At 43.9% G+C, this 15905-nt stretch overlaps 1 long non-coding RNA gene across 2 annotated transcripts in view; it reads left to right on the top strand.

The window, feature by feature from the left end:
• The window catches only part of ITGA9-AS1 (ITGA9 antisense RNA 1), a 108092-nt gene that overhangs the window by 6033 nt on the left and 86154 nt on the right, over positions 1–15905 (top strand). The window contains exon 2 of one of the 2 annotated variants that reach the window (NR_110532.1): positions 4256–4324. The exons of the other annotated variant lie outside the window; for it this stretch is intronic. This is a non-coding gene — a long non-coding RNA (ITGA9 antisense RNA 1). The remainder of the gene's footprint in view (positions 1–4255; positions 4325–15905) is intronic. 2 annotated transcript variants of the gene reach the window in all.

Genomic DNA, 15905 nt, shown 5'->3' with positions numbered 1-15905 from the left:
TGTCTATGTCCACTGACACCTGGCTTCCTAGCCATCTTCTACCTCTACCCTTGTCCCCAGGGATGTTCTCTACTTGTCCCCAGGTGGGACCTGGGGACAGCATCCTTCCCATCTAAAGACACTTCACTCCCAAGAATAAGGCTTTCAAACGGGTCAGTGGTCCAGCAGGTGCAGCCCGCCCCCTGGTGGCCACAATGTTGTGTGGTCCTTTTCCTGAGCCCAGCTGAATGTGGAAGGCCTCTCTCCCTGCCAGTTCCTCAGTGTACACCACAGTCAGAGTGGGCTCAGTCGTGTCTCTTACCTTACCTGTCATGATTTGCACTCTTGTTCAGTTTTCCCCAGAGTATTAGCAGAAATGCCCTCAGGAGGCTGGGCGCAGTGGCTCACACCTGTAATCCCAGGACTTTGGGAGGCCAAGGTGGGCAGATCATTTGAGATCAGGAGTTCAAGACCAGACTGGCCAATGTAGTGAAACACCCGTCTCTACTAAAAATACAAAAATTAGCTGGGCATGATGGCGCAGGCCTGTAATCCCAGCTACTCGGGAGGCTGAGGCAGGAGAATCACTTGAACCCGGGAGGCGGAGGCTGTAGTGAGCTGAGATCGCGCCACTGCACTCCAGCCTGGCAACAGAGTGAGACTCCATCTCAAAAAAAAAAAACAAAAAAGAACGCCCTCAGGAATATGAAGGCCTGAGTGCCTGTCTGGAGAGGGTAGAAAGCAGGGGAACTGGAGCGATGTGCCCCACTTGGCAGCCAGTCTTGGAGGAGGAAAATGAAAGGCAAAGTGGATGCAAGCCACTGGTGAAGGAAAAAAGGGCAGTCAACCAGGGTCCTGGGCACACAGAGAAAAGGGCATCTGGCCTAAAGCTGGTGGTCAGGAGATATTTGGGGAATTTGAGAACAAGACACATCCTGATCTGAGATAGACTCTAGGACCTTGGGAATGAGCTGAAACATTCTTAGCGTACCCAGAAACCCAAGAAGCCTTCCTGGAGGGGGACACGCCTGCCACCACTTCTGTACCTCCAAAATTACAGCCCTGCCTTACCCAGAGAGTTTGGGTGCAAAAAGAGGACATGGCCTCAGGCTTGGGCCCTCTCTGACAGCCCCGGCTGGGGGAGGGCATGGCCCTGCCCTGAAACCCTATCACAATAGAATAGCTCCCAGAGCAGAGGGGGCAGGGTATCTCTGTGTGCCCTCAGCCCACTAGCAGGAGTGGCTTTGGCTCCTGAAAGGGCAGAGAGTCACAGAGTCTCAAGTTGATTTAGTGACTCTGGAGCCATTGAGCCCCTTGAGGTGGAACCCCACACTTAGCCCCTGTGTGGATTGTCCCTTGGATGACTCCCCATATCTCAGCTAGCAGGTATCATGTGGCCTGGCTGATGGAGGTTACTTTTGCTTGGCTGCTGTCATCTGTCGCCTCTCTCAGCCAGGCTCCCCAGGCCCTGGGCTCTGGCCCAGCCACAGGTACCCCCTTTATTCCCTGGCCTATGCCTACACAGGCTGTATTGGAGCTGAGGTGAGCAGACCCAGACGTGGCCACACTCTGTGGTGTGAATTCTATGTCACCCGTCATCCCAAGGCTGCCTGCTGATGAAGAGGAAGGGCCAACCCATATGTGCATCACTGCATGCACCCGTGTATATATTAGGGGGTCCATATGCGTGTGTATGCAGCCCCTTCTGGGAAGGTAGTTGCCCTCTCACATCTTTTATAGCATCAGCTTTGACAGGCAGCTGCCATGGCAGACCTCCCACTGGCACCATTCACATGGGCGGTGCCTTGGCTGGGCAAGGGAGATATTTCACGGGCAGGTCTGGTCACAGACACACACCTTGGTACGTGCAGCTACATGCTCATTTGTACTTGGGCTCACACGTGACAAGGCTGTCTCTGCCCAGGCTGGTTTCTCTACGTTGGCACTGCCTGTTTCTCCCTCCCTCCCTCCCGCTCTGGCCCTCCAGGTCTCAGCCCTGACAAGCACTGCCCTCCTCTTTCAGCTCCCCTGGAACCCAGCCTCCTACCCTCTTGGTCTTGGAAGGTTCTCAGAGCCTCCCTCATGAACATGATCACAGATGAGCATTTGTAGGCAATTTCTACTTTTCACACTAACTTCCCAGAGGCCTGGGTAGAGAGAGAGCTGGGCTCTCTCCTCTGGAACAGGGGTCAGGGTATGGGAGGGAAGAATACAAGGAGGTGGCCAGGGGCCGTGGCTCATGCCTTTAATCCTAGCACTTCAGGAGGCTGAGACAGGCGGATTTCCTGAGCTCAGGAGTTTGAGATCAGCCTGAGCAACACAGTGAATCCCATCTCTACTAAAATACAAAAAATTAGCTGGGTGTGCTGGCGTGCACCTGTAGTCCCAGCTACTCGGAGGCTGAGGCAGGAGAATTGCTTGAACCTTGGAGGCGGAGGTTACAGTGAGCCGAGATTGCACCACTGCACTCCAGCCTGGGCGACTGAGACTCCTTCTCCAAAAAAAAAAAAAAAAAAAAAAAAGAATACAAGGAGGTAAAAAAAAAAATCTCAGTAAATTAGTCAGTCTGTCTCCTGACTCCACTCTCCTTCCCTCTCTCCCACTTCCCCCTCCCCTGCCACACAGCCCTCCTTGGTTGCTGCTAACATACACTCAGGCGCCCCTGATGCACACTGTTCCCCTCCCCCATACACTGCCAACCCACATTCCTAAATGGGGCTCTTAACCCCAGTGAACTGTCCCCATCTACCCCATCTGGCTCTGATCCCACCATGGCCATGGGAGGCACTCCTTGTGATCCACACCTGAGTGCCTGGCTGGGATGGGTGGAGAAGGAGGCCCTATCTCAGCTGAAAGAGGCAACAGGCAAGTGGCCTCCTCTCTCTGGACCTTCCTTTCTAGGCAAGAACACACAGATGATGGTTTGTTGCCAGAAGGCTCTGGAATGGGTGCAAACCAGAAGGGGTTCCCTGTCCTGGTCTGAGTTTAGGGATGGGACCAAAGAAGTAAAATTTCTGGACGTTCTACTAAAAATTATTTTTAAAATATCAAAAGCAAAAAATATTTTGGGGAAACGGATACTAGCCACATGGAATTGACTAGACGTTGAGAGTTCACACAGCTTGTTAATATTTAGTGTCTTTCTGACTCCCTGATGGCCCTTGGTAAGAGAAAAGAAGGAGGGTGGTTGTCACCCATCCTGCCTGTTTACTGCACACCAAGCTGTGGCTGGGTACCGTGTTTCCAAAGGCGAGAGGCTCCCTTGGGTGCAGGAAATGGAGACCATGTCAGGGAAAGATCAGCATGAGGGTCCTGGAGTGAGAGTCTCTGCCCATCCAAGGCCTCACAGGAACTCAGCTCAAACCATAAAGAAAGCTATTATATCACCTGGCAGGCCTCAGGGATGACCTCAGGAAACTGGGTCTTTCAGGAGCAAGGCCACTCCAGACTAAACTCCTGTTACTCCAGACAAGTCATTTGTCATGAATGTGACTCAGCTGCATCTTTCATCACTGCTTCAGTTTGGGTCTAACCATTTGTCCTCTTGTTAACAACTCACTAATTTTCATAAGTCCCAGTTTAAATCTGGGAGACAGTCTGTTTGCCTTAGTTCATTCCGATTTTTCAAGTTACTATACTTATGTAAAAAATTACCCCCAATTTTAGTGACTTTTACAGAATCAAAAAATACTTATATGCTTATGAATCTGCAGTTTAGGCAGGGCTTGGTGGGCCTAGCTCATCTTTGCTTTCTGTGGGGTCACCTGGGCTGCTTGATAGTGGGAGCTGGACTGATCTGGAGGCTTACTTTCTCGCATGTCACAGTTGATGCCGGCTGTTGGCTGATGCTTTGGGCTGTTGGCTGGAAAACCTACAAATGCTATTGACCATGTCTTTTATTTTCTGTACTCTGATGTTTTGACATATTGGGGTCTTGTTTTTGGCATCTTGGGGCCTTGCTGACCTTGGAGGGACTGCCCCTTTGATAGCAGATTCCTAGAGATAGCAAATAACTGACCTGTGAGGGTGTCTTTCATATGCAAGCCAGTCAATCCAGTGCCCACATTCCCAACCACCCCCTTTATCCAGCAATTACAGGCCCCTATTTTCCTGCCCTAGTCACCCAGGGGCCAAGTACCAGACTACTGGGGCCAGCCCCTACACCTCAGAGCCCACCAAAATTATTTAAACTAGCTAATCCTGAACCTGCTTACCCTGTTCCTTTTTGTAGAAACCACACTAAATGCCTTTGCCATAGTTTTCCTTTCTCCCTCAGGTTCCTGACCAAGCTGGTGCTTCTGCGTGTGTTCCTGCATGACTTGGTGTGTCCCCTTCTCTTGGATCTGTGAGTAACAAACTATCTTTTCTTTTTTTCTTTTGAGACAGAGTCTCGCTGTGTCTGTGTCACTGAGGCTGGGGTGCAGTGATGCAATCTCAGGTCACTGTACCTCCGCCTCCTGAGTTCAAGTGATTCTCCTGCCTCAGCCTTCCGAGTAGCTGGGATTACAGGGATGCACCATCACACCCAGCTAATTTTTGTATTTTTAGTAGAGAGAGGGTTTCACCATGTTGGCCAGGCCGGTCTCAAACTCCTGACCTCAGGTGATCTGCCCGCCTTGGCCTCCCAAAGTGCTGGGATTTACAGGCATGAGCCACTGTGCCCAGCCTAATCTGTCTTTTCAATGGCAGTCGTCTCTTGACCTGTTGGCCTCTTCATACCTGAATAATAATAAAACCTATATTTTCTTTTTTGTTTGTTTGTTTGTTTTTGAGATGGAATTGCTCTTGTTGCCCAGGATGGAGTACAATGGCGTGATCTCAGCTCACTGCAACCTCCGCCACCAGCCTGAAACCTATGTTTTCAAACAGTGATCTCTCCAGTGGCCTGGGCTTCCTCACAACATGGTGGCTGGTTGCAAGGGTGTGTCCTCTGAGAGAGTCCCAGGCGGAAGCCATATCACATTTTATGACCTAGTCTCAGAAATTACTCAGTGTCTTTTCTACTGCATTCTGTTCACCAAGACTATCATAATGTCCCACCTAGGTTCAGGGGGAGGAGAAATAGACTCCATCTCTTGAAGGGGCATGGCAACGTGCTAGAAGAGCCTGTGAATGGAAATACTGTGGTAGCCAGTTTTGGAAATTACAGTCTTCAACGATCATCCTCTCTGGGCAGAGCTCTTCATGCCAGGACACCTCATAGGTCACTGGCCAGTCAATGGGGTACTGTTTACAGGTCAGATATCTAATCCTGTCCCACTCTTGCCCTTAGACCTGAGCAAAAGGGACGCTTGCCCTGGGCCTGGTGCTTTAGAAGTCTTTATTTAGGCCTTTGTCCAGTTGTTCCCTTCCCCATGGGGTAAGAAATTTGCAGGACACCAGGGCATGTGGCTACCTGAAGTCTGTGCCTCCACCTCCCCTGTTACGAAATGCACCTGGGGCACCTAGGACCTTGGAATTTCCTATCCCACAGGCTTGAGCATGGGGCCCACACATCAGGGGAGAGCAGTGAGGCAGCTGTGAGCCAGGAGCCTGGGCTTGGCTGTCCCTGTGTTGTCACACTCCGGTGCAGCACTCCAAGGAATCTGTTCGTTTAAAATTCGAACTTGGTCATTCAGCCTCAGATTTTGTTGCATTTTCCTGATTTAGATGGAATGGAATGAAGAAAACTCCACAGCATACAGAATTGGCCTCCATTTGCTCTCTTGTCCTGCAAATGTCAGAGGTGGGCCTGCCCTGACAGCTGTGGAGGGGGGCATTTCCTGAGGTGTAGAGAAGATCCCCCTTCCCTTTCCTCCCAGCTTTGGGTAGAGCCTGAGGCAGCTGGAGGTGTGTCAAGCCCTGTCATGGCAGGACTCTGTCTTCACCAGTCTTCACAACCTCTCTGTTAATAATGCCATCTTACAGATGAGGAAACAGGCTTCACGAGGTTAAGTGGCTTGCTCCATCAGAGCTGAGATGGTGATGATTGCCTTTGTGTCGGGGAATCCTATCTGTCCGGGAAGCCGCTGCTCAAGATGACAGGGCAAGTCATTGATTGGGAGTTTCCAGATCTTAACTCTAAGCTCCCGCCACTCCTGCATGCTGTGCTTAAAGCAGGATGGCGTAGGAAATGATTGTACTGGATTTATCTGAGGAAGGGAAGGCATTGACAGAAATCTAGAAAATTATTCTGGGATAAGCATAATCATTAGTCAAACCTCCTCAGCCTCATTTTTCTGGAGATGAGGTTACCTGGACGAGGAGCACGTGATCAGGGGCTAAGACGGGTACTTTTCCTGCGTGCTGGATAGGGAGGCCTGAAACCCAGAATCTACTAGATCTGTGCTCCTTGGGCTTCCCTGTCCTTAGGAAGCTAAATTTACAACTCCAAACTGCATATCTATTGGACTATTCCCAGAGAGATGTTAAGAGATACAGATAAATAGCAAGAGATTAAGACACAGGCCCAGGCCGGGTGCAATGACTCATGCCTGTAATCCCAGCACTTTGGGAGGCTGAGATGGACAGATCACTTGAGCCCTGGAGTTCAAGACCAGCCTGGGCAACATGGTAAAACCTCATTTCTACAAAAAAAAAAAAATGCAAAAAATTAGCCAGGTGTGGTGGTGTATGCCTGTAGTCTCAGCTACCCGGGAGGCTGAAGTGGGAGGATCACGTGAGCCTGGGAGGTCGAGGCTACAGTGAGCCGAGATAGTGCCACTGCACTCCAGCCCAGGCAACAGAGTGAGACTCTGTCTCAAAAAAAATATATATATATATGTATATATATATATATATAGAGAGAGAGAGAGAGAGAGAGAGAGAGAAAGAGAGAGAGAGAGAGAGAGAGTTCCTGACCAGCCTGGCCAACATGGTGAAACCCCATCTCTACTAAAAAAAATACAAAAAAATTAGCTGGGAGTGGTGGCACGCACCTGTAATCCCAGCTACTCAGGAGGCTGAGGCACAAGAATCACTTGAACCCGGGAGGCGGAGGTTGCAGTGATCCGTGATGGAGCCACTACACTCCAGCCTGGGTGAGAGTGAGACTCTATCTCAAAAAAAAAAAAGACACAGGCCCAAAGTTATGTCATATCTGTCATGCTTCTCCTTTGCTTGTGCTTTCCCTGTGCCAAGAATGTTGTTCTTTGCCCCTCCCTTGAGTTACCCTTGCCTGCTTCCCAAGACCCAGTTCAGAGGGAGCCTCCTCCTCTAAGTTTAGTATTCTTGGTCTGTGTCTTGAGACTTATTAGTGGCTTTTGGACTTATTAATAAGCAGGAAAGAGTGATTGTAGACTGAGAAGGGAGAGGTGGCATGAATGTCCTGAGATCAGTCTGTGAACTGATTTAACATATCTTGGCTCTGGCACATTGGGCTGCACCCTCAGATGTGACCCTCCCATATGCCGCACGAGGTCCCTGGGGGAAGCCCTGACACTCACCTGGCTTCTCCTTCTTACACAGAAAAGCTTGACATGCCAACAATAACATTTCTGTTTCCAAAATTGAAACAGATTTTTCTTTCTTCATAACTTTACTTGTTCAACTTTAGAGTTTCTTTTTTCCCTTTATTTATGCAAACATTTTTTCTTCAACAGTGGGGTTCTAAAAGATAATTTGATACCCCTCTAGCATCGTGTATGGTTGAGGCCAGAAACCAGGAAGCCAGAGTACTTGCACTTCTCCAAGGCAGCTGTTGAAATGCAGGACTTCCATGGGGGAAGGACTGGACCACGGTCCCCTAGCCATCTTGGAGGACTGGGGCTGCCTTCGGATTTTAACTGTTTCATTGTCAAATTATCAAATTGGTTATTTATATAAGGGCTGTCTGCTTATCTGGTGCTAAGCTGGTTTAAAAGTTCCAGATGCAGCAAAAGCATTCTCCAGCACTGGCAACAGTTATCAGCAAGACCACACTCAAAATCAACTCAAGAAAACAGCTCTAAACCAGAGATTGCAAACTGGCAGCCCAGGAGTGAAATCCAGCCGACTGACCCATGCTGGTAGCAAACGTGGTTTGTTATTATTCTTGTTGTTTTTTTGTATTTGCCTGTATAGAGCAGACTGTCATTACAGTGTTTTTTTTTAAATAATTACTTACAGAAACATCATAAGAATAAAGAATTCCTATATACCCTTTAACTAAATTCCCCAAAGATTAACTTTTTACTCCCCAATTGTATTATTTGAACCATTTGAAAGTAAACTTCAGGCCTATCCTCAACATTTCAAAATATCTTTAAAAAGGACAATCTCTCATATAACCATGATACAATGATCAAATCAATCAGTAAATTAACATTGATACAGTGTTATCAACTAATCCACAGACCTCATGCTTATTTCACCAATTTACCTATTTTGTCTTTTATAGCAAAGGGGAATATTTATGTTTTCTGGTCTAGGATCCAATTTAAGATTATGTTTCCCTGTTTCTTTAGTTTCCTTTAATCTGGTACAGCCCAGTGATTTTGTAGAATACTCCTTAACATGGGTTTGTCTGTTGTTTCCTCATGATTAGATTCAGATTATGCATTTTTGGTGAGTACTCCAGGAGTGATGTTGTATCCTCACCAGTGCCGCATATGAGGAGGCACTTGACATTGCTTTGTGGCATTATTGATAATGTTAAGTTTGATTACTTGGTTAAGGCAGTGTCTCTAAGGTTTCTTCACTGTAAATTTTGTCCTTTGTATTTTTCCCATTGTAATTAAAAAGCATTTTGTGTATGAGGGAGGTACTTTGAGATGATGTAAATACCCTCATTCTCATAAAACATTTACCCTCTAGTTTTAGCATCTGTTGATGACCCTTGCCTTAATCAGTTATTGCTGTTAAATTTTGGTCAGTGGGAGATTGCTCAAGTTGGGTTTTGAGTACTTTTGACACATCCCTATTATTCTCAAGCTCTTCTTTACTCTGGTACAACAAAATGCTTTGGGCTCATAGGGTCTTTTTCTTGTACCAGCCCTGGAATCAGTTATTTCTCTAAGGAGTCCTGCTTCTTTTTAGTGGAGAATAGTACTTAGAAGCCAAGATCTGGGTGCCAGATGCGCTTATTGCTGCTGCAGTGTCATTGATCCTAGGCTCCCTTGGTGGACACAGCTATATAAATTTATCTATATCTACCTATCTATCATTTATCAATATCAATTAATCTATCTACATCTATATTATTAATCAACCTCTCTATCAATCATCTATTTATATTCAATCTACTAAAACCTGGAGTTTATGATGACACCTCAGATTCCTAACACCACATGATTCAGTATATTTCCTTCTCCTCTTGCCATATTTGTAACTCCCTTCCCTGATAGTGAAAAACTTGACTCCCATTATCCACAATACATTATTTATACACAATGCTCAATCTTAGAATGCCCAGAAAGTAGCTTCAGAATTGCTATCCCATTCTACTGCAAAAACCCAACTCAGTAAGTAGAGTTCAATATTTTTTTACACTGTCTTTGCCTTTTGTCAAAATACTTTATTCAAATATTACTTAGATTAGTTCCTCCACCTCTAATGAGGGTCATTTTTTTTCTGTTTGTGTTTTATGTTAGTGTTTTCTCCCCACCTTGTTTGTTTGTTTGTTTTAGGCAAGTGAAACACTAACACGGTTCTAAAAGTCAGAACTACACAGAAAGGTATCCTCAGAGAAGTGTCACTGCCCTTTGTAACTTACCCCCAACCCACTTCCTACCTACCAGGCATGGACCCTACAACTTTAGGTAATCGTTATCATTACTTTCTGGTTTGTCCTTCTTATGTTTTTGTTGTTGTTGTTGTTGTTCTGTATAGTCGACACAAGTATATATTATGATTTCTCTCTTCTTACATGATAAGTAGCACACAATAGATACTCATTTGTACTTCTCCTTTTCACTTCACAATACAGCCTGCAAATCACTCCACTTCAGTTCATAGAGATATTCCTAATAATCTTTAATTAAAGCCACTGTATAGTATTTCATTGTGTGGACTTAGTATCATTTCTTCAGCTACCCTTCCATGTATGGCATTTAGTATGTTTCCAGAATTTTGCACTACAAACAATGCTATAGTACTTTTTATGTTGTTGGAGAAGTAACTTAAGGTATGTTCCTGGATAACTGGGTCAAAAGGAAGACACTTGTAGTTTTGTTAGGAATTGCAAATTTCCTCCCAGAAAGTTTGTATCAATTTGCATTTTCACCAGCAATGTATGAGAGTACCTCTTTCCCCACAGCCTCACCAACAGAATGTGTTGTTATATTAAACATTTTTTGCCAATCTGCTAGGAGAGAAATGGTACCTCAGCACAGTTTAAATTTGTATTTCTCTTATAATGTGAATTGAACATATTTTTAAATGTTTAAGCCCATTTTAATATCTTTTTTTAGTGACTTATCCATCATGTCTTTTGCCCATTTTTCTATGGACTTATAAAATATCTCACTTCTCACTTTTTTAAAGAGTTTGTTTCTACATTAAGGACATTGGCTCTTTATCTGTGACATAAATGCAAATATTTTCTCCCATTTTGTCATTTGTCTTTTGACTTTGCTTATGGTATTTTTTGCCAAGAAAACATTTTTTTCTTTTAAGGTTTTTTTGGTTGTGTTTTATTTTGTTTTGAGACAGAGTCTCGCTCTGTCGCCCAGGCTGGAGGGCAGTGGCGTGGTCTTGGCTCACTGCAACCTCCGCCTCTTGGGTTCAAGCGATTCTTCTGCCTCAGCCTCCTGAGTAACTGGGACTACAGGTGCGCATCACCATGTCAGGCTAATTTTTGTATTTTTAGTAGAGGTGGGGTTTCACCATATGGCCAGGCTAGTCTTGATCTCCTGACTTTGTGATCCACCCACCTTGGACTCCCAAAGTGCTGGGATTACAGGCATAAGCCACCGTGCCTGGCCTCTTTTTAGTTTTATGTAGTCAAATATATCAATCTGTTCTTTTATTGCCACTGGATTTTGAGTCATAGTTGGAAAGCCTTTCTCTACAACCAGACTATGCAAGACCATATCCATGTTTTCTTCTAGTGCCTGTATGGTTTCATCTTTTACAGTTAGACCTCTGATCCATTTGCAATTGCTTCTCTCGTATGGTGTGAGATAAGGATCCGGATTTTTTTTTTTTTTCTTTGGAGACGGAGTCTCGCTCTGTCACCCAGGCTGGAGTGCAGTGGTACAATCTTGGCTCACTGCAAACTCTGCCTCCTGTGTTCACGCCATTCTCCTGCCTCAGCCTCCCAAGTAGCTGGGACTACAGGCACCCGCCACCACGCCCGGCTAATTTTTTGTATTTTTAGTAGAGATGGGGTTTCACCGTGTTAGCCAGGATGGTCTCGATCTCCTGACCTCGTGATCTGCTCGCCTCGGCCTCCCAAAGTGCTGGGATTACAGGCGTGAGCCACCCCGCTCGGCCATAGGATCCGGATTTTTTAAAATTATTTTTTTAAATTATACTTTAACTTCTAGGGTACATGTGCACAATGTGCAGGTTTGTTACATAGGTATACATGTGCCATGTTGGTTTGCTGCACCCATCAGCTCATCATTTACATCAGGTATTTCTCCTAATGCTATCCCTCCCCCAACACCCCATCCACCAACAGGCTCTGGTGTGTGATGTTCCCCTCCCTGTGTCCATGTGTTCTCATTGTTCGACTTCCACTTCTGAGCGAGAACATGCGGTGTTTGGTTTTCTATCCTTGTGATAGTTTGCTCAGAATGATGATTTCCAGCTTTATCCATGTCCCTGCAAAGGACATGAACTCATCCTTTTTTATGGCTGCATAGTATTCCATGGTGTATATGTGCCACATTTTCTTTATCCAGTCTGTTATTGATGGACATTTGGGTTGGTTCCAAGTCTTTGCTATTGTGAATAGTGCCACAATAAACATACATGTGCATGTGTCTTTATAGTAGCATGATTTATAATCCTTTGGGTATATACCCCATAATGGGATTGCTGGGTCAAATGGTATTTCTAGTTCTAGATCCTTGAGGAATCACCACACTGTCTTCCACAATGGTTGAACTAATTTACACTCCCACTGACAGTGTAAAAAGCCTTCCTATTTCTCCACGTCCTCTCCAGCATCTGTTGTTTCCTGACTTTTTAATGATCGCCATTCTAACTGGTGTGAGATGGTATGTCATTATGGTTTCAATTTGCATTTCTCTGATGACCAGTGATGATGAGCCTTTTTTCATGTGTCTGTTGGCTGCATAAATGTCTTCTTTTGGGAAGTGTCTGTTGATATCCTTTGCCCAGTTTTTGATGGGGTTGTTTGTTTTTTCTTATAAATTTGTTTAAGTTCTTTGTAGATTCTGGATATTAGCCCTTTGTCAGATGGATAGATTGCAAAAATTTTCTCCCATTCTGTTGGTTGCTTGTTCACTCTGATGATAGTTTCTTTTGCTGTGCAGAATCTCTTTAGTTTAATTAGATCCTATTTGTCTATTTTGGCTTTTGTTGCCGTTGCTTTTGGTGTTTTAGTCGTGAAGTCTTTGCCCATGCCTATGTCCTGAATGGTATTGCCTAGGTTTTCTTCTAGGGTTTTTATGGTTTTAGGTCTTACATTTAAGTCTTTAATCCATCTTGAGTTAATTTTTTTAGAAGGTGTAAGGAAGGGATCCAGTTTCAGCTTTCTACATATGGCTAGCCAGTTTTCCCAGCATCATTTATTAAATAGGGAATCCTTTCCCCATTGCTTGTTTTTGTCAGGTTTGTCAAAGATCAGATGGTTGTAGATATGTGGTGTTATTTCTGAGGCCTCTGTTCTGTTTCATTGGTCTATATATCTGTTTTGGTACCAGCACCATGCTGTTTTGGTTACTGTAGACTTGTATAGTTTGAAGTCAGGTCTTGGCTATGCAGGCTCTTTTTTGGTTCCATGTGAACTTTAAAGTAGTTTTTTCCAATTCTGTGAAGAAAGTCATTGGTAGCTTGATGGGGGTAGCGTTGAATCTATAAATTACCTTGGGCAGGATGGCCCTTTTCACAATATTGATGTTTCCTATCCATGAGCATGGAATGTTCTTCCATTTGTTTGTATCCTCTTTTATTTCGTTGAGCAGTGGTTTGTAGTTCTCCTTAAAGAGGTCCTTCACATCCCTTGTAAATTGGATTGCTAGGTATTTTATTCTCTTTGTAGTAATTGTGAATGGGAGTTCACTCATGATTTGGCTCTCTGTTTGTCTGTTATTGGTGTATAGGAATGCTTGTGATTTTTGCACATTGATTTTGTATCCTGAGACTTTGCTGAAGTTGCTTATCAGCTTAAGGAGATTTTGGGCTGAGATGATGGGGTTTTCTAAATATACAATCATGTCATCTGCAAACAGAGACAATTTGACTTCCTCTTTTCCTAATTGAATACCCTTTATTTCTTTCTCTTGCCTGATTGCCCTGGCTAAAACTTCCAATACTCTGTTGAATAGGAGTAGGGAGAGAGGGCATCCTTGTCTTGTGCCAGTTTTCAAAGGGAATGCTTCCAGTTTTTGCCCATTCAGTATGATATTGGCTGTGGGTTTGTCATAAATAGCTCTTATTATTTTGAGATATGTTCCATCAATACCTAGTTTATTGAGAGTTTTTAGCATGAAAGGCTGTTGAATTTTGTTGAAGGCCTTTTCTGCATCTATTGAGATAATCATGTGTTTTTTTTTCATTGGTTCTGTTTATGTGATGGGTTATGTTTATTGATTTGTGTATGTTGAACCAGCCTTGCATCCTAGGGATGAAGCTGACTGGATCATGGTGGATAAGCTTTTTGATGTGCTGCTGAATTCAGTTTGCCAGTATTTTATTGAGGATTTTTGCATTGATATTCATTTGGGATATTGGCCTGAAATTCTCTTTTTTTGTTGTTGTGTCTCTGCCAGGCTTTGGTATCAGGATGATGCTGGCCTCATAAAATGAGTTAGGGAGGATTCCTTTTTTTTCTATTGATTAGAATAGTTTCAGAAGGAATGGTAGCAGCTCCTCTTTGTACCTCTGGTAGAATTCGGCTGTGAATCTGCCTTGTTCTGGACTTTTTGTGGTTGGTAGGCTATTCATTATTGCCTCAATTTCAGAACCTATTATTGGTCTATTCAGAGATTCAACTTCTTCCTGGTTTAGTTTTGGGAGGGTGTATGTGTCCAGGAATTTATCCATTTCTTCTAGATTTTCCAGTTTATTTGCATAGAGGTGTTTATAGTATTCTCTGATGGTAGTTTGTATTTCTGTGGGATCAGTGGTGATATCCCCTTTATCATTTTTTTTATTGCATCTATTGGATTCTTCTCTCTTTTCTATTAGTCTTGCTAGCAGTCTATCTATTTTGTTAATCTTTTCAAAAAACCAGCTCCTGGATTCATTGAATTTTTTTTGAAGGGTTTTTTGTGTTTCTATTTCCTTCAGTTCTGCTCTGATCTTAGTTATTTCTTATCTTCTGCTAGCTTTTGAATTTGTTTGCCCTTCCTTCTCTAGTTCTTTTAATTGTTATGTTAGGGTGTCAATTTTAGATCTTTCCTGCTTTCTCTTGTGGGCATTTAGTGCTATAAATTTCCCTCTACACACTGTTTTAAATGTGTCCCAGAGATTCTGGTACGTTGTATCTTTGTTCTCATTGGTTTCAAAGAACATCTTTATTTCTGCCTTCATTTCGTTATTTACCCAGTAGTCATTCAGGAGCAGGTTGTTCAGTTTCCATGTAGTTGTGCGGTTTTGAGTGAGCTTCTTGATCCTGAGTTCTAATTTGATTGCACTGTGGTCTGAGAGACAGTTTGTTGTGATTTCTGTTCTTTTACATTTGCTGAGGAGTGTTTTACTTCCAGTTATGTGGTCAATTTTAGAATAAGTGCGATCTGGTGCTCAGAAGGATGTATATTCTGTTGATGTGGGTTGGAGAGTTCTGTAGATGTCTATTAGGTCCACTTGGTCCAGAGCTGAGTTCAAGTCCTGGATATCCTTGTTAACCTTCTGTCTCGTTGGTCTGTCTAATACTGACAGTGCAGTGTCTCCCATTATTATTGTGTGGGAGTCTAAGTCTCTTTGTAGGTCTCTAAGGACTTGCTTTATGAATCTGGATGCTCCTGTATTGGGTGCATATATATTTAGGATAGTTAGCTCTTCTTGTTGAGTTGATCCCTCTACCATTATGTAATGGCCTTCTTTGTCTTGGCTTGTAGGGTTTCTGCTGAGAGATCTGCTGTTAGTCTGATGGGCTTCCCTTTGTGGGTAACCCTACCTATTTCTCTGGCTACCCTTAACATTTTTTCCTTCATTTCAATCTTGGTGAATCTGTCAATTATGTGTCTTGGGTTGCTCTTCTTGAGGAGTATCTTTGTGGTGTTCTCTGTATTTCCTGAATTTGAATGTTGACCTGCCTTGCTAGGTTGGGGAAGTTCTCCTGGATAATATTCTGAAGAGTGTTTTCTAACTTGGTTCCATTCTCCCCGTCACTTTCAGGTACACCAATCAAACATAGATTTGGTCTTTTCACATAGTCCCATATTTCTTGGAGGCTTTGTTCGTTTCCTTTCACTCTTTTTTCTCTAATCTTGTCTTCTCACTTTATTTCATTAATTTGATCTTCAATCACTGATATCCTTTCTTCCGCTTGAATGAATTGGCTATTGATACTTGTGTATGCTTCACGAAGTTCTCATACTGTGGGTTTCAGCTCCACCAGGTGATTTAAGCTCTTCTCTACACTGGTTATTCTAGTTAGCCATTCATCTAACCTTTTCTCAAGGTTTTTAGCTTCCTTGCGATGGCTTAGAACATGCTCCTTTAGCTTGGAGAAGTTTGTTATTACTGATCTTCTGAAGCCTACTTCTGTCAACTCATCAGACTCATTCTCCATCCAGGAGAACACGACAGGAGTTGTGTTCCTTTGGAGGAGAAGAGGCATTCTGGTTTTTGGAATTTTCAGCCTTTCTACTCTAGTTTCTCCCCATCCTTGT

This window comes from Homo sapiens, chromosome 3 (assembly GCF_000001405.40).
Source record: "Homo sapiens chromosome 3, GRCh38.p14 Primary Assembly".
Taxonomy (NCBI): domain Eukaryota; kingdom Metazoa; phylum Chordata; class Mammalia; order Primates; family Hominidae; genus Homo; species Homo sapiens.
The sequence above is the reverse complement of the archived record's forward strand: the minus strand, read 5'-3'. Positions and strand labels throughout refer to the sequence as shown.